The sequence below is a fragment of the Homo sapiens genome, chromosome 2, assembly GCF_000001405.40.
Source record: "Homo sapiens chromosome 2, GRCh38.p14 Primary Assembly".
NCBI lineage: Eukaryota > Metazoa > Chordata > Mammalia > Primates > Hominidae > Homo > Homo sapiens.
The window spans coordinates 101277306-101296746 of record NC_000002.12 but is presented as its reverse complement, the minus strand read 5'-3'; the positions used below and the strand labels follow the sequence as shown (position 1 = coordinate 101296746).

General features: G+C 39.5%; 1 protein-coding gene across 8 annotated transcripts in view; it reads left to right on the top strand.

The window, feature by feature from the left end:
• The window catches only part of RNF149 (ring finger protein 149), a 37483-nt gene that overhangs the window by 11955 nt on the left and 6087 nt on the right, over positions 1-19441 (top strand). For 5 of the 8 annotated variants that reach the window (XR_001738712.3, XR_922908.3, XM_005263921.5 and 2 more), the window contains exons 2-6: positions 1566-1816; positions 2665-2733; positions 7692-7774; positions 10570-10666; positions 14690-14888. Coding sequence is in view for 5 of the 8 variants with exons in the window: in XM_005263921.5 (XP_005263978.1) it covers positions 1566-1816; positions 2665-2733; positions 7692-7774; positions 10570-10666; positions 14690-14888 (699 nt within the window). In the remaining 3 variants the exon portion in view is untranslated. Of the gene's footprint in view, positions 1-1565; positions 1817-2664; positions 2734-7691; positions 7775-10569; positions 10667-14689; positions 19112-19441 lie in introns of those variants that run through there. The other 3 variants (XM_005263920.4, XM_047443979.1, XR_922909.4) reach the window with 3 other exon arrangements.

The following is a 19441-nucleotide window of genomic DNA, read 5'->3' as shown; positions in this document are numbered from 1 at the left end:
TTTTTTATATATACACTTAAGTCTTTAATTTAGTTGGAATTTATTTTGGCGTAAGTTGTGAGAAATGGATGCAGCTTCCCCCGACCCGCCGCACTGATGATACCCAGTTGCCCCACGTGATTTTTTAAATAATTCATTTTGCCTCATGCATTTGGAATTCTGCTTTTATGCACTAAATTCTTTCATGTATTTGGGTCTATTTCTGGACTTTTATTCTGTCTCATTCTGTGGGTGTCTCCATATGCTACAGCCACAATGTTTTAATTACTTTAACTCTAAAGACCAGTCCAGGTTTCACTGTTTAAAACATTGTTCTGATCATCTTATTTTCCTTCTAAGTGAACTTAGAAGCAATATGTTTAGTTCTTTTTTAATCTTATCGATATTTTATGATTATTGCATTAATTTGTAGCTAAATACATGTAAAATTTTTTATTTTAGCCCTTCTTTTCTATGTCTCTTAATTTTTCTCTCATGTCTGCTTATGCCTTCAGAGCAATGCTAAATAATAGTGATCATAGTAGAAATTCTCATATTGTCTCCCTGATTTTAATGAACATGCTTTAGGTATTATGTATTAGTACTCATAAGTGGAATTGGTCTGTATAGTTTTTTGTTTGTTTTTCATTGAGATACAGTCATACTTTGTCGCCCAAGCTGGAATGCAGTAGCATGATCTCAGCTCACTGCAGCCTTGACCATCTGGGCTCAAGCAATTCTTCTGCCTCAGCCTCCCAACTCATTTTTTCTTTAAATTATTTGTAGAGACAAGGTCTCGCTTACACAGGCTGGTCTCCAACTCCTGTCTTCAACCTATCCTCCCATCTCAGTGTCTCAAAGTGCTGGGATTACAGGTGTGAACTACCATACCTGGCTTGTATGGTTCTTTTGTTGGTTGTTTATTACTAATGTTTGGTTTTATTATCTTAGAAGTAATTTTTAAACTTTTTTTTTTTTTAATCTGCTGTGGAACAAGTTAAATGTTGTTGGTGTTTCTTGTGCCTTAAAGGTTTGGTGGTAGATTTCACCTGTGAAACTGAACAGTGCTCTAGCTTTTGGGGGAATAGTTCTTTTTTTTTTTTTTTTGAGATGGGGTCTCGCACTGTCGCCCGGGCTGGAGTGCAGTGGCGCGATCTCAGCTCACTGCAACCTCCGCTTCCCAGGTTCATGTGATTCTCCTGCTGCAGCCTCCCAAGTAGCTGGGATTACAGGCGCACACCACCACACCTGGCTAATTTTTTGTATTTTTAGTAAAGGCAGGGTTTCACTATGTTGGCCAGACTGTTCTCAAACTCCTCACCTAGTGATCCGCCCGCCTAGGCCTCCCAAAGTGCTATTACAGGCAGGCACCGTGCCCGGCCAGGGGAATAGTTCTTAGTGATTTATTCTATTACTTCTAATGTAATCAGTTTCTTTTGGAACCAGGTTTGGTAACTTATGTTTCCCATGGAATTTTTCTAATGTATTTATATATGTAGATGAACATAGTACCCTTATATTTAATTTAATGTTCTCTGTATCTTATTTTGTGTTCTTCACATTGATTTCTTTGTTCTTTCCTACAGGAACAGGAAATATAGTGGTCATTATGATTAGCTATCCAAAAGGAAGAGAAATTTTGGAGCTGGTGCAAAAAGGAATTCCAGTAACGATGACCATAGGGGTTGGCACCCGGCATGTACAGGAGTTCATCAGCGGTCAGTCTGTGGTGTTTGTGGCCATTGCCTTCATCACCATGATGATTATCTCGTTAGCCTGGCTAATATTTTACTATATACAGCGTTTCCTATATACTGGCTCTCAGATTGGAAGTCAGGTAATGATGGATAACTCTGAATTTTGCTTTTTAAAAGATAATTCATAAATATGCCGCATATATATTCCTAGAAGTTACATTTGACCATAATCTTGATTTTCGCTTATATTATTTAAGTATTCAACATGACTTTTTGGAAGTAACTTTTTAATTGGACTATGTTAAATTTTTTGTTTTGTGGGAAATTAGATACCTTTAAGTCTGGGTTACCTTTTGCACATTTGTTTCCTGCAGGAACCCTCTTAGTCCCTTGCCAGACCCAAAGGAGTGATGAATGGAAGGGGGGGCCTCTCTGTCTCCATCATGGAGCCGTAGTAAAGCCATTTATCTCTCTCAGTGACAGCAAAGAGAAGGGCCGTCAGAGAGCCAGTGGCTTCCCAAGGCAGGCCTTTTGAGCGTCCACTTATTTCTGTCATTGTGGAAAGTTGACTGTTCTGTCTTGAGGACTAGGAAGAGGCCTTTACCTTTTAGGTACTTGAATAGATGAGCATGTGGTACCCCTATCCTCAGCTTCTTACTTTCTTGACAATATTTAAGCATAAGAAGTGGTTGCTTCTTCAGACAAATTAAAATCAGTACTCTTGGTGAAACACCTCTTAAAGTTACATATGGCTGTTCTGCATATTAAGATTTGAATGGCTTTTGTTGTTAGGGGGCTTTTTTATGAAGTTGGTGCAAAAGTAATCGCAGTTTTGCCATTAAAAGTTATTTTCAGTATAGTCATTTGACTTTGCCTTTCAAATGAAATGTTTTCTGTATGCTTATGTGTATTATATTTGTGACTTTTAAGAAAAATAGTGATTTAATTTAAATTTTTCAATAACTGTATTAATATTTTCCTACCCAAGAGCCATAGAAAAGAAACTAAGAAAGTTATTGGCCAGCTTCTACTTCATACTGTAAAGCATGGAGAAAAGGTAATATTTTCATGGTTTTTCTTTTGTTTTGTGGTTTAGAGTAGAGAATATGCTGTACGTGTTTATTTTAAAGAAGGATTGGCAGAAATATTTTGTCATTGAGAAGGGCCTTCTAGACCTGCATTAATATGGTAGCCACTAGTCGCATATAGCAATTTGCATTTAAATGAATTTAATTTAAAATTGAGCCCCTCACTGGTGACACTTCAAGCACTTTGGGAGCCACAGTGGCTGGTTGCTGCCCTCCTGGACAGCTCTTACATTCCCAGCAGTGACGAAAGTGGTACTGGTTAGAACCAGATAACTATAAAGACATACAGTCTTCACAGACCCTTGATAGCTTCAGTTCATTTCTGTTAAATCTGAGACTATGTGTCCACTCCCTTGGAGTCCTTTAGTTACAGGGAGAAAATGTTGGCATTTCTGGAGGGGGGAAAAGATGTTTTTAAAACTACTTTTGGAAAAAGAAACATTTTGACATGGCTAATCTGACACTTAAAAGTTCGAAATCATACCAGAATTTTAAAGCATTTTTGAAATAGGACAAATCCTGAATCTAGAAGCTCAGATTCTTGGAGGATAGATGCCTTAAAAGGAAAACTGTTGCTAATGCATAGGATTTATTCTTTTCCTAGTTCTTCTGGTGCGCTCTGAAATGTTGATAATTATGTTGACTTGCAGCTATGACTTGGTTCAGCTGTTTTGATTTTCATGTTATCTCACTAAGTTATCAAAAATCTGTTCCACCCTCCAATCTCTACTCCCCTTCAGAAAGAAAGAGTACATGCACTTATGGTGTATATCTCTTTCTTTGACCTTAAAGGATTAAAGCAAAAATAACACATTAGCTTACAGACTTTTGATTTTTTTTTTTTTAATTTGGAATTAATACTAATGAGACTTTGAGAATTGTATTGGTGGCTACCATTCCTTTGCTGATTGTTTTCGTACTACAGTTCAATTTTGATAGTTTGTGCAAGGTATTATTTTCTTTCCATACAAATGTGTTGAACAGAAAAAGTAAAAAAAAAAAAAAAAAAAGATCACATCTCATGGCTTAAGATTAGTGTCTGATTTGCAGATCACTCAGAAGGTCCTTGGGGATAGAGTTTCCAGTTAATCCCTGTGACAAACTCTGCACACATTCAGCATAGTCAGTTACTTGACAAACGTGGTTTATGTTCCTCTTGGAACATGACTTCTTACCCTCCTTAGCAGGAAATTGCAGTTCTTTTTTTTTCTTCATTTGAGATGGAGTCTCGCTCTGTCACCCAGGCTGGAGTGCAGTGGCGCAATCTCGGCTCACTGCAAGCTCCGCCTCCCGGGTTCACGCCATTCTCCTGCCTCAGTCTCCCGAGTAGCTGGAACTACAGGCGCCTGCCACCACGCCCAGCTAATTTTTTGTATTTTTAGTAGAGACGGAGTTTCACCGTGTTAGCCAGGATGGTCTCCATCTCCTGACCTCGTGATCCACCTGCCTCGGCCTCCCAAAGTTCTGGGATTACAGGCGTGAGCCACCACGCCCGGCCGGAAATTGCAGTTCTTAAGTATGAGAAGACATAGATGTATATGTTTAATTTACTGAATCAAATCTTTGAGAACACAAGTAAATTGGTATTATCCTCTTCCCATACAGAACACTTTTGAAAATATGCTTCCAGGGCCTGTTTCTTGAAAGTTGTCAAAATAATGGTTGAAAAAAAGAGGATCCCTTGCAAAAAAGCCTTATGGTATATATATTTTTAAGAAGATTTCTAAATGACCCATGAGGTATATACAGATGGCCCCCACCTTCCAATGGTTTAACTTAACAATTTTTCAACTTTAAACAGTGTGAAAGCAATACACATTCAGTAGAAACCATACTTCAAGTGTTGTTTTTCACTTTCAGTATGGTATGCAGTAAATTATATGAGATAGTCAATACTTTATTATAAAATAGGCTTCGTGTTAGATGATTCTGCCCAAGTGTAGGCTAATGTAAGTGTTCTGAGCATGTTTATGGTAGGCCAGGCTAAGCCGCGATGTTCAGTAGGTTAGGTACATTAAATGCATTTTAAACTTAATGTTATTTTCAACTTACAGTGGATTCAGTGAGGTGTGACCCCATGGTAAGCTGAAGAGCAGCTGTACATGGATTTTCTTGCAGTTTTACATTTTAAACTGTACAAAAAAATGTGTTTTCTTCAGTCTACATTGTATTCCATTCTAGAGAGACTAGTGTTGTCTAATTTTTATTTTCTTGTAGATTCATTCACAGTAATGTATAAACTTGCAAACCATTATTAGAGACTTTAAAAATTAATCATCCTTGCCCTGCATATGATAAATGATACTATTTACTTTCATTGAAGCATATAATTTTAAATGTTGTTAAAAGTTCATTTTAATACAGTCTTTGATAACAATATCTACATATAAAATCAAATGTGGTCTGGCAGGGTGGCTCGCACCTGTAATCCCAGCACTTTGGGAGACTGAGGCAGGAGGATCTCTTGAGTCCAGGAGTTCAAAACCAGCCTGGGCAACGTGGCGAAACCCTGTCTCTTAAAAAAAAAAAAAATAGGCTGGGCGTGGTGGGTCATGCCTGTAATCCCAGCACTTTGGGAGGCCGAGGCGGGTGGATCACGAGGTCAGGAGTTCGAGACCAGCTTGGCCAACATGGTGAAACCCCATCTGTACTAAAAATACAAAAATTAGCTGGGCATGGTGGCGCAAGCCTGTAGTCCTAGCAACTCAGGAGGCTGAGGCAGGAGATTCACTTGAACCCAGGAGGTGGAGGTTGCAGTGAGCCAAGATCGCGCCACTGCCCTCCAGCCTGGCGACAGAGCGAGACTCCGTCTCAAAAAAAAAAAATTAATTAATTAATTAATAATAAAATGTTTACTGCTTCCATATTGACAGGTGGTGCACATGGCTAAATATATTTTTAAATACAGTAATTACATAAGAACAGTGTAACTGTGTTCCATAAAATGAACTGCCTAAATTTGCAGCCACATGCTGATACTGATTGGTAGTCCCTGAGTCTCTACCCCAGCATCCTGGGAAAGAGAATCCTGTTGGCCTATCTTGTGTCAGATGGCCACTGTGGCCCTGGCTGCCTTGGTTGATGGGTGAGACCAGGTGTGTAGATCCAGGGGTTAGCCAGAGAAGTAGGGAGGGCTGATTACCACCAAAGAGGTCCATGACCCATAGATTCTTAGAAGTGGAAATTTTGTCACAAGACTACTTTCTCCCCAGCACTTTTTGTTTCTTTGTACCTTTATTAAGTAGTTAGATGAAAAATGGTAACTTACTCTAATTTGTCATTCTTTTTAATCACTAGTGAGGTAACTATTTTCAAATATTTAGCCATTTACATTTTCTCATTTGTGAGTTGTAATTCCATTCTTTAGCAAATGTAAATACGTTACTTTATATGATTCCAGAAAACTAGTAGCTTATTTATATTTATTCTCTTTTTATTATAAGTTTTATGTTTGAAAAATAGTTTATTTTATAATATAGCAGACATTTGCATTTCTACAGCACTTAAAACATGAATACTTTTTAACAACCCGTGAACACTTGCTTAGTATTTAAACATTTTAAACTGTACAAAAGTGTTTTCTTCAGTCTACATCATATTCCATTCTAGAGAGACTAGTGTTGTCTAATTTTTATTTTCTTGTAGACTCATTCACAGTAATGGATAAACTTGCAAACCATTATTAGAGACTTTAAAAATTATTTCATCATTCTTGCCCTGTGTATGATAAATGATAGTATTTACTTTCATTGAAACATATAATTTTAAATGTTGTTGAAAGTTCCTTTTTTTGTTTTGTTTTTTGAGACGGAGTCTCGCTGTGTCACCAGGGTGGAGGGCAGTGGCGCGATCTTGGCTCACTGCAACCTCCACCTCCTGGGTTCAAGCGATTCTCCTGCCTCAGCCTCTAGAGTAGCTGGGACTACAGGCACACACCACCACACCCAGCTAATTTTTGTATTTTTAGTAGAGGTGGGGTTTCACCATGTTGGCCAGGATGGTCTCGATCTCTTGACCTTGTGATCCACCTGCCTTGGCCTCTGAAAGTGCTGGGATTACAGGCATGAGCCACCGTGTCTGGCTGTGAAAGTTCATTTTAATACAGTCTTTGATAACAATATCTGCATATAAAATCAAACTTGGTCTGGTGCAGTGGCTCATGCTGGTAATCCCAGCACCTTGGGAGGCTGAGGCAGGAGGATTGCTTGAGTCCAGGAGTTCGAGACCAGCCTGAGCAACACGGTAAGACCCTGTCTCTTTTTTTTTTTTTTTTTTGAGACAGAGTCTTGCTCAACAGTTGCCCAGGCTGGAGTGCAGTGGTGCCATCTTGGCTCACTGCAACCTCCGACTCCCTGGTTCAAGCCATTCTCCTGCCTCAGCCTCCTGAGTAGCTGGGACTACAGGCACGCGCCACCATGCCCAGCTAATTTTTGTATTTTTAGTAAAGATGAGGTTTCACCATGTTGGCCAGGATGGTCTCAATCTCCTGACCCCATGATCCGCCCTCCTTGGCCTCCCAAAGTGCTGGGATTATAGGCGTGAACCACTGCACCTGGCCGAAACCCTGTCTCTTAAAAATAAATAAATAAATAAAACAATAATAAATAAAATGTTTACTGCTTCCATATTGACAGGTGGTGCACATGGCTAAATATATGAAATACAGTAATTACATGTGAATAGTGTATTAGTATTTAAACACTGTTCATATCTGATCAGGCAAACAATGAAATTTTTTCCTTTTCAACCGTATTTAGATAATCCTCTAATAGTGGTAAACACCAAGTACAGTTATTTGTGTTTTAATTTCACCGGTTGTACCACTGTAGAAGGGAATTCGTCATTGTTTTAGTCCGGATGTAGTGAGTTTACCAAGGGATATACTGTGTACCAAGAATGTAGTAACACTTTCCTTTTCTTTTTACAGGGAATTGATGTTGATGCTGAAAATTGTGCAGTGTGTATTGAAAATTTCAAAGTAAAGGATATTATTAGAATTCTGCCATGCAAGTATGTTCTTTTTACATATTGAGATGTTAAAAATTACTTGACAAGTTTTAGGTGTCTGACAAAATAGTTATTTGTTTTTTATGATAATGAAGATCTTGTAATTTGTGATCATCTCTTCTTTTTAGAAAAGCAGCTTGGATTTTAAATATAATATCTTCCCTGCCCTTTAAGATTGCTTTGCCTAGGAGATTCTTAGGTGACACTAAGACTCGTTAAGTATCTTTGTCGTAGATTGACTTTTAGTCTTCTAAGCAAGGCTTTATCAGAATCCTAGGAATTCCATTATACATTTAGCAGTGCAAAAAGTAAGCTGTGTTGGGAGCAAGGAAAATGAGGGACCAGGGAGAAGGGCCTGAAACAGCCTAAGGGAAATAGGTTGAGGAGGGCAGTAGTCTGCTGTTATTTGCACCCTGGGCTTGCGTTCCTTCTGAGGTTGTTTAAAATCAATATTCCTGGCTGGGCACTGTGGCTCACACCTGTAATCCCAGCACTTTGGGAGGCTGATGCAGGTGTTCAAGACTAGCCTGGTCAACATGGTGAAACCCCGTCTCTACTGAAAATACAAAAATTAGCCGGGTGTGGTAGCGTACACCTGTAATCCCAGCTACTCAGGTAGCTGGGGCAGGAGAATTACTTGAACCCGGGAGGCACAGGTTACAGTGAGCCGAGATTGCACCACCTGCACTCCAGCCTAGGTGACAGAGTGAGACTCCGTCTCAAAAAAAAAAAAAAAAAAAAAAAAGTTTTTCTTTCCTTTATTCTGGTTATACTAAGGGTTTTGTTTTAGTAGCAGGAAGTTGCTTGAAGGAAGGCAGGGCATGGTGGCTCATGACTGTAATCCCAGCTACTCAGGAGGCTGAGGCATGAGAATTGCTTGAACCTGGGAGGTAGAGGTTGCAGTGAGCTGAGATCACGCCACTGCACTCCAGCCTGGGTGACATGGCAAGACTCTGTCTCCAAAAAAAGTAATGGGATACTTTAGTTGATAACTTTTTTAAAAGAATTGCTTTGCTAAAAGGGTTCATTTTATGTACAGAAATTGTATGTTTTAAGTCTGATGAATTTTAATTATACTTCACACCTACTAGAAGCAAGTCACAAGTCAGTATATAATTATATTTTGCTTTGTTTGCAGAGTACGTTAGTATATATCCAAGTACTTTATAGTAGATTGATAATTCTGTGAAGGAAATGAAGGCGTGAGTATCAGGGTAACCAAATGAAAGTTTCCTGACTAAAGGTAGCTGGTTTAAACCTACAAACATTTACATGTGATTGGTATGATGGGTACTGAATGAATTGGGTTGGATCAGTATAAGTTGATCATGTCATGTAGAAAGTTATTAAAGTAGAGAAAAGAGTTTTTACTCCAGACTGGTTTAGGGCAGGTCTTTCTGATTTAAAAACAGTGTCCAGGAAGCTGCACAGATGAGCAGTACTAGGTCATGCTGGTGGCTGAGCTGGAGTTTGGACCTGACCCTCAAACACAGGTGCATGTGCACATTTCGTGGTCTCCTTACTGGGCTTTTGACTTTTCCCTTATTTTCTCCTGTGCTTTATTTCTGTAACAAATTTCCCAATAAAACCAACATGTTCCTTTTATGTTTTTGTAAAAATTATTTCTTAAGTACTGTTTTTTTTATTTTTTTGAGACAGAGTTTCGTTCTTGTTGCCCAGACTGGAGTACAAGGGGTGTGATCTTGGCTCACTACAACCTCCATCTTCCGGGTTCAAGCGATTCTCCTGCCTCAGCCTCCTGAGTAGCTGGGATTACAGGTGTCCACCAACACACCCAGCTAATTTTTGTATTTTTAGTGTAGAGCGGGTTTCACCATGTTGGCTAGGCTGGTCTCGAACTCCTGACCTCAGGTGATCCACCCACCTCGGCCTCCCAAAATGTTGGGATTACAGGCGTGAGCCACCATGCCCGGCCGCGAGTACTGTTACTTTTAACTCCACTAGCAGATTTCTGTTTGTAAAAAAGTCTTCAAACAACAGTAATAATACCAAACAATTACCAAGTATGCTCTGTGCCTGGCACAGTTGTATGCACATTGCATGTGCCCCTCTAACCCTGGTGTGGGGCAGAGTGTAGGAACCTAGTTCAGAGTCCCAGCCATTGAGTCGCAGAGCTCGTATCTGAGTCCAGCCTGTCTGGCTCTGAAACCCATACTATACTGGTAACTCCTTTTCTTCATCACTTGCAGAAAATAGATCTATCACACAGGAGGAAAAGTTAGCCAACTGAGACAAATCAGCAAAAGAAGAAAATATGTCTGCCTTTTTTTTTATTCTGAAAGTGATAGGTGTTCATTATAGAAAAATGGAGTGTATACAAAACTGTGTAAGAGAGTAAATAAGTGTTGCATAAGCCTACCACCGCAAGATGATCTGTTAATATTTTTGTTGTTATTTCCATTTGAGTCATTTTATGGACTTATGTAAGGTACTTCCAGTTTAGTATTAGTTTACTTATTACTACTAGTTGATTTATGCCACATTTTTTCCCAAAAAGCTTTCAAATAACTTACAGAGGCACATAAAAATGTACAACCTAGCGTGAGAGCATAAATAAGCCATGGTTTTTGTAGAGTGAAGGGAAAATTTCCCTAGAAGTGCCAGATTCTGTTTCATATGGAAGAGAGAATAATGACATGATAAGTAAGTAGACTAGAATGTTTATTTGACATCAGCTAACTTGTAATGAGAGGATGAGTTGGTACAATGTCTTATTTCCTTTATAAGTTATATAAACATTGATTTTAAAAACATTAACACATACTTAATCTTTTTAGGCATATTTTTCATAGAATATGCATTGACCCATGGCTTTTGGATCACCGAACATGTCCAATGTGTAAACTTGATGTCATCAAAGCCCTAGGATATTGGGTTTGTTACATTTTTGTTTATATTCAATCTCTGCCCCAGTTCTTCCTGAGTGATTCAGTTTCATTATTGACTAGAAACAAGAGGAACAGGTGAAATGCTCCTAATATCCTTGTAGTTCTCTGAAGAAATTTTCCTCATTATTAAAAATGAGTTATTAAGGCAGTGTAAAAAAATCAGTGAAATAAATTTATGATGGTAGAATAATATGCTCAGATGTTTCCCAGAGAGTTTGTAATTACTTACAGAGTAATGTGTTTTGGCATGCTGCACCACAGAATGTATGTATGCTAGTTTTGTATAGACAAGAATCATAAAATATTTGAAAAGGAAGGAGCCTCATAGGTTGTCAGGCTTAATATGCTCATTTTACATGTGAAGAAAACAAAGCCAATACTTAACATCAAATATTCCGTATTCCTAGGTTTCAGAATCAAATAGACCTGGGGCAGTTTGTCCTGCATTGACTTTGGTTCATCACCGATGGTCACAGGGCCTTACACAGAAGACACGGGGGCGAAATGAAAAGGAAATCATAGTAGTAGCTAGCCACATGCTGAACAAATGCCTTCCATACCTTGTTATGTCTAATCCTCACAGCTGCTGTATAAGTGCTGTCACTATTCCCATCTTACTGATTAGAAACTTGAGCTTAGAGAAGCTAAATAACTCACCTGAGGTCATGCAGTTAGCTAATGGGGAATCATCTTTCAAATAAAGTTTGCCTAATTCCAGGGTCCAAGCACTTAACTATTACCCTACCCAAAGAGGGGAACATAGAGGGGAAAAATATATTTTTTTAGGTTATATTTTTTATTGTTTTTAGAGTCTTCATACAATCTATTAATGTCTCAACATATTCTCATTTAAAAGATAAACAATTTTAGGCTGGACTTGGTGGCTCATACCTGTAATCCCGGCACTTAGGGAGGCTGAGGCGGGCGGATCACTTGAGGTCAGGAGTTCAAGACCAGCCTGGCCAACATGGTGAAACCCTGTCTCTCCTAAAAATACAAAAAAAATTAGCCGGATATGATGGCACGCTCCTGTAGTCCCATTTACTCAAGAGACTGAGGCAGGAGGATCGCATGAGTCTGGGAGGCAGAGGTTGTAGTGAACTGAGAGCGTTCCACTGCACTCCAGCCTGGGCAATGAGAGTGAAACCTTGTCTCAATAACAGTTTTTAAATAAAGATCTTTGGGGAAAATAATTTATCAAATATAGTCTTGTTGCTAAACATATTTTTAGAGTTTTTCATAGAGTTTATTGTAGAATTAGAAACTACAATTTGGGGTTTTTTAAATGATGATCACTTTATGTAGCTTTAAGCCATTATGGTCATGTAAGCTTCTATAGTGGCATCATTAAAGAACTGACCCGTTAAACAAGACTTATTTCCCAGACTGCAGTCTACTTAAAATGCCCCCTCATCTTCTAGCTTAAGAGACCACTTCCTTAACAACTACTGTCATTCTCTATGAATTATGATTTGTTTGGTTTTTTTTGAGACAGCCTCACTCTGTCGCCGAGGCTGGAGTTCAATGGCGTGATCTTGGCTCACTTCAACCTCTGCCTCATGGGTTCAAGTGATTCTCCAGCCTCAGCCTCCCAAGTAGCTGAGATTACACCTGCACTCCAGTACACCCAGCTAATTTTTTATATTTTTTGTAGAGATAGGGTTTTACCACACTGGCCAGGATGGTCTCAAAATCCTGGCCTCAAGTGATCCACCCGCCTCAGCCTCCCAAAGTGCTGAGATTACAGGCATGAGCCATTGCACCTGGCCACTGAATTATGTTTTTTAAATGTGAGTTCCAGAACGCCTTCACTCTGTGATCACAGGAAGGTGGAGGTCAGTGTTCAAGAACTGTCTGACTAGAAACTGAGACTGTTTTGATGTCCAGAAAATTTGTCTCTCTTCTAGAATTTCTTCACATATTCATGGTTTTCAGTAATTGTAGCTATGATTAGCATGGCATAACATGCTTTCTTAATGAACCTGGCTCATCCCCTCTTTGCTCCAGAAACTGTAGCTTAGATGAGAGAATGAGCCTTTGTGGGACAGCATTTTAAATAATAGCATACAGGGAGCTTGATGGATTTCTTTCTTGGCAAGGTTTTAGAACTCTTTTCCTTCATTAGATACACTCTAAAGCGTATTCTAAGTTGTTTTCTTCATTACTCAGTAGTTTTAAACTTGCTTTTCATTTCTGGATGTTTGTATGAAAGGAATTTCACTGACCATAGCAGAGGGACTTTAATCCTCATGAGTTTTGTTTTTGGAAATAAGCTATATATATATTTCATATATTAAAAATTAAGACTCTTCATCTCACATAAGGTTGAGTTGCTTTCTTAGAATGTTAATTTCAGAAAGCTAGAATATATATCCCCAGAATGCCTAATTTATTGTTTGAAGAACAGAACCTATAGTAACATCAGACCTCAGAAACTTACTGTCTTGCCTTTGACTTTTGAATCTTTAGACAGTACACCCTTTTCTGTGGACCTGTTGACCCCCTCCTGCAGTGTATGCTTTAGTTAGCCATGCTGTGCCCTCTTATAGTAACTAGTTTTCTATTTCCCCATAACTGTAGTGAGAGTCACCCTCAGTCAACCACACAGGCTTTAAAGGTTTACAGCTGTAACCATTTCAGTGTGTCCATGTCACTTGTTTTCATTCATTTGGCAAGGATGGGTCAAAGAAATGACATCTAAGGTGCTAGATCTGCACTTGGCTCTGGGGAGACAAAGATGAGTAAGACACAGCCCCTCCCCTCATGGGCTCTTGAAGATTTCACTTTCTGGACTGGTAGGGGGTCAGGGCACGCATACAGACATGACATGGCCAAAGAGGCCTGTTTGAAGTGCTGCCCGTAGGAGCACAGAGGAGGGGTCACGTGCCCTGCTGCCAGGTAGAAGTTGGAAGGTGGGGCAAGTGCATTTGAGAGGGCAGTTGAGCTGGGTGTTGCATTATCCATCAGACACACCAAAGTGTTGAGGCTAATGCTGTGTCTGTGGAGTGAACAGACAGGGTTGGAGGTTGGCAGGTAGTTAAGTTGGCAGATATTTAGGTAAAAAGGTTGGAGCTAGGCTGGGCAGGAGTTTGGGTATTGTGATGTCACAGCCACAGGATTTGTTGCTTGGTGTGTCAGGAGTAGGGATGGGAGGGCGTTACGTTACTGGTGAGGCAGGAGGGGCAGGTTCTAGAACACAGGTGGAGCAGGGCTGTGGGGGGCACAGCCCAGTGGAGGGAGGAGGGGTGCCCGTGAGTGGTGTTTTTACTTGAAGCAATGGTGAGATGCTGAGCCAGAAGGTCATAGTCAACCTGCAGTAACCCCTCATCTAATAAGTCACTTTACCAGGAGTTCCATCCACTTACAACACAGCTTTGACTCTGGTATTAATCAAATAAAGTTTCTAGCTGTCCCCCAAATGTTGAGACTTAATGCAGTGATGCTGATAGTGTCCCCAGCCCTCCACTTTCACTGTCTTCCTTTCTTTAAAGCAGCAAATGGAAGGAGGGAGGGAAGGTGGAGACAAACTACAGCTGATCAACACCCTGTCCATACGGAAGGAGCCAGAGTAACTTTTTCAAGAAAATAATACAGTCTGAAGGCATCTGTTCAAAAGCCTTGTTTATTTCTGAAACCCTAGTGCCTCACTGTAAACCAGCACAGGGCGGTAATCAGAGTTCATGGCTATGGCCTCAAATCCTCTGTCTGGGAAGGCAAGGAAGTGGAAGAAAGCTTCACTTTCTGTCAATAGTTTAAAAGGTGGCATTGCTTGTATCAAGGAGGGGAAATGTTTTTTAGAATAAAAAACATGTTGGCCTTAGGAGATTGGTTGTCGAGAAGGAATTCATTTTCTTGTGATACTAGATAAGGGAGACATTGATGTGCTTTTTGCCAGATTCATTGTACAGAAGTACGTAATATTGTGTGTGAATTACGAGCCAGATGATACATAAGCTTTGATCATGTTTTAAGCTTTGATCATGTTTTTTCTTCTGTTCTAATTCTCAAGGGAGAGCCTGGGGATGTACAGGAGATGCCTGCTCCAGAATCTCCTCCTGGAAGGGATCCAGCTGCAAATTTGAGTCTAGCTTTACCAGATGATGACGGAAGTGATGACAGCAGTCCACCATCAGCCTCCCCTGCTGAATCTGAGCCACAGTGTGATCCCAGCTTTAAAGGAGATGCAGGAGAAAATACGGCATTGCTAGGTGAGCGGTGTGCAAATTATAAAACAATAGAATGTGGCCAGGAGTGGTGGCTCACACCTGTAATCTCAGTGCTTTGGGAGTTTAAGGTGGGAGGATTGCTCGAGTTTGAGCTATCGAAGAGTAAGTAACCAGAAATTTGAGAACAGCCTGGGCAGCATAGTGAGACCCCATCTCTACAAAAACTTCACAGATTAGCCAGGTATGGTGGCATTCTCCTGTAGTCCCAGCTACTCAGAATGCTGAGGCAGGAGAGTGGCTTGTGACCAAGAGTTCAGGCTGCAGTGAGCTATGATCCTGTCACTGTACTCCAGCCTGAGCCTGGGTGACAGAGCAAGACCCTGTCTCTTAAAAAAAAAAAAAAAAAAAAAAGGAATTTTATTAGTAGCTGTGAAAGAAAATAAAGAAATACATAAAGTGCAGAAAAGCATAAGGAAAAAATGAAAATAGTCGTCCCCCACGTAGAGATGTCATCTTAACACTTTGATAATTACCTTTCCAGATGTTTTTCTGGAAATCGAAAGGTGTTTAAGGGTCGGTGAATATCACTTATGGGCTGTTAGGTAACCTACTTTTTACTTAATATATGAAGCTCTTTCTATGTTGATAAATAGATAATTTTTTACAGCTACAGAGTATTACATTTTGAATTTTCTATAATTTCTTGAAACTAATTAATGAGTGTTTGTATTATCAGTAGCACTTTGAAATCATTATGTATATATACTTATGCCTTGTCTAATTGTTTTCTGTCACTCTGATAGGTAAAATGTAGTGAACTGCATGTTTTTTGTTTTGTTTTGTTTTTTGTGTTTTATTTTGGTTTTTGAGACAGGGTCTTGCTCTGTCACCCTGGCTGGAGTGTAGTGATGAGAACACAGCTCACTGCAGCCTCAAACTCCTGGGCTTAACCAATCCTGCCACCTCTGCCTCCCAAGTAGCTGAGACCACAGGCGTGTGCCACCACATCTAGCTAACTTTTTAAATTTTTTTGAAGTGATGAAGTCTCACCATGTTGTCTAGACTCATTGCATTTTTTAAATTACATTTTTGTCCTCTTTTCACATTGTTGGTCATCTTTATTCTTTGATGAACTGCTTATTTTATCCCTAGCTTATTTTTTTATGGAGATAGTAATTTTTTCATATTGATCCTTAGAGCTTTTTATACATTGAAAATACTAGGGCTTTGTCATATATTTTATGTATTTCTCCCCCAATTTCTGTATCCTTTGGCTTTTCATTGTACTTTCCAGATAGAAATTATGTAGTTTAGTTTCCCGTTCTCTCATGATTCTGCCTTTGATTGCATGCTGACTTAGGAAGGTCTTTCTTATGTTAGGATTGTAAAGATATTGACCTGTACTTTGCTAGTATTTGTGGGTTTTGTATTTTACATTTAAATCTTAATGTAAGATTTAAATGTAAATCTTAAACATCTTAAACACATATAGTTTAAGGTGTGAGGGGAGATTTAACTAATCTGTTTTTTCCTTTTATTCCACTTATTAAACCCAAATGTTTAATCAGTTGTCCTAATATTGTTTAGTGAATAATAATTGCAAATAATATGTTTTTATATTTGCAAGGCAATTTCCTTCATCTTTATTCTTCTTTTAAAAAATTTCTGGACTATTCTACATTATCATCATCATCATCATTATTATTATTATTATTATTATTATTTGAGATGGAGTCTTGCTCTGTCGGCCAGTCTGGAGTGCAGTGACACGATCTCAGCTCACTGCAGCCTCTGCCTCCTGGGTTCAAGTGATTTGCCCACCTCAGGTGATCCACCCTCCTGGGACTCCCAAAGTGCTGGGATTACAGGCATGAGCCACCACACCCAGCCTATTCTACATTTTTTAAAGATTAATTCTAAAATCATTTTGCCAAGTAAAAGAAAATCTCATCAGAATTTTTATTGGAATTGGATTCACTTAAAGGTTATTTTAAGTGGGAAGAATCGATGCTTCAGGTTTTGAATTTTGTCATCCTAGAAGAGGAAGCATATTTTTCCAAAGCAGTAAGATTGAAACTAAGTCAGTTTTTTTGTAGCACATTTAGGATCTGTGAGGCAAAAATCGGTAGAAATATTAGAATGTAAGTATTAACCAGCACCAGAGGAAGAAAAGACTGCATTGTGGAACAAAAAAAGGAGAATAGATTTCAGAGAATTATAAAATTGTAGCGATTGATCTGTGTAGGCATTCTCCTAACAGCTCTCCAGCTAAGACTGGGCCACCTTGCAAAGCAGCATGTTCCCTTGGTAAATGGCTCTTATTTTTAAGAATGTCTTTATATAGAGCCAGAGTGCATACCAGTGTGATTTTGCCATTGCCTTCCAACTCCAGAAAGAAAACTAACTTTGCCTTCTCTAGTACATGAGCACCCTGGAGATACTAAAACTCTTATTCTGACTAAATGTCTTTCAAGAGCAGCCTCCAGATTTTTCTGCATTCTTGCTACCTTGTTAACTTGCAGTGCCTTACAGTTTACCATTGGCTGTCCTGAAATACCCTCTTAGAACTAAGATAATACAATTTGAAATCATGGGTAGAAATCATGAAATCATGGGTAGAAATAAAGAAGGTGGAAGAAGCAGCTAGGTTTCCAAAGCAGCAAAATGTCAGATACATTCTGAAGCAGCCAGTTTCCCCAGTGTCCCCACCCCACCCCGTATGGGGCTCACATTCTATTTTTCTCTTTGTCCTTTTTTTAAATTCTCAAGTATTGTGCAACAGCAAGTTGACTTTATCTGTTAATGTTCTTTCAGCCTTATAACGGTAACGACATAAATTGAAAAACACTAAATTAGAAAAATCAGGCATTAATACTTCCAGAAAAAACTGTGGTTTCACTTATAGTTGAGAAAACATTTACTAGACTCTCAGGAGCAACTAGGAAATGAATGTGGAAGTTACTCATGGTAGACCCTGGAGAAGGTGTTTCCCTGTGGAAGTGCACCTTCCACTCTCCAGTTACATCACTCTCCACCTACTTCACCTCCTTGAAGGGGAGTGCAAAATATTTGGTTGGGTGTGGGGGGAATTGGAGAGATTGATCAAAAGGTACAAAGTTTCAGTTAGGAGCAAGTTCAAGAGCTCCATTGTACAGCATGGTGACTACAGTTCATAACAGTGTATAGTATTCTTGAAAGATGCCCAAAGAGTAGATTTTAAATGTTCTCACTTCAAATGAATATGTCAGGTAATGCACATGAATTAGTGTGATTTAGCCATTCCACAATGTATACATGTTTCAGAACATCATGTTGTATACCATATATATATACAGTTTTTGTCAATTTAAACAGTAAATACAAATTTTGTATTTATAAATATACACTTATATTTATAAAACAAGAGGAAGCATTTTATGAGATTACTTATGTTATTTCACCATTTAATAGAAACTTCAGGCTGGACATGGTGGCTCACACTTGTAATCCTAGCACTTTTGGAGGTAGGGTGGCAGGGAGCAGATTGCATCGCATGAGGCCAGTCTGGGGAACATGCAGAAACTCTGTCTCTACTTAAAATTAGCGGGGCGTGGTGGCGTGTGCCTACTGTAGTCCTAGCTCTCTGGGAAGCTGAGGTGGGAGGATCACTTGAACCCAGGAAGTCGAGGATGCAGCGAGCCGTGACCATGATCATGTCACTGCACTGCAGCCTGGGTGAGAGAGTGAGACCCTATATCAAAAAAGAAAAGAAAAAAGAAACTTTAAATTGGCAAAATAAAAAGTAATGGGATCTGCTGCTATCTTTAAGGAAGTATTCTATTCTAAGAGCCTTTTGTGTGAAGTGATTTTGTATACTTCATAATAGCAACTGTCTGGATTTCAGTACCAGCTCCTCCTCTTCCTTGCCATCTATAAACCGGGGCTGGTGACATGTTAATCTCTACCTCTTAGGGTCAATATAAATACTGGCTATTGTTTTCATTGGTGGCAGCATCACCATCACCTTAGCTACTTGTTCAACTTTTGGGAACATCTTCTGGTACCGCCATCTCTGACTGTCTTTAAAGACTGATCTGCTGATGAGATTAATGTTGGCTAGGCTAATGCTAGAAAACTCCTCATATGATGAAGATGTTTACCGATTTTTCTTGTTGGCTATCAGTGGAATGGGTTATCAGTTTTCCATGTATGTTTTATTTAAAATTTTCTGTTAGCCGGGCGCGGTGGCTCATGCCTGTAATCCCAGCATTTTGGGAGGCTGAGGTGGGTGGATCACCTGAGGTCAGGAGTTCGAGACTAGCCTGGCCAACATGGTGAAACCTCATCTCTACTAAAAATGCAAAAAGTAGCTGAATGTGGTGGCGGGTGCCTGTAATCCCAGCTACCCAGGAGGCTGAGGCAGGAGAATCGCTTGAACCCGGGAGGTGGAGTTGCAGTGAGCCAAGATGGTGCCATTGCATTCCAGCCTGGGCAACAAGAACAAGACTCCGTCTCAAAAAAAATTTTTTTTTCTGTTTACCATCTTGAATTATCTCCAAGTGAGTAAGTGTGTTTGCATAGTTGAAGCTCGGAATATGCTGCCCTCTTCTGATGGA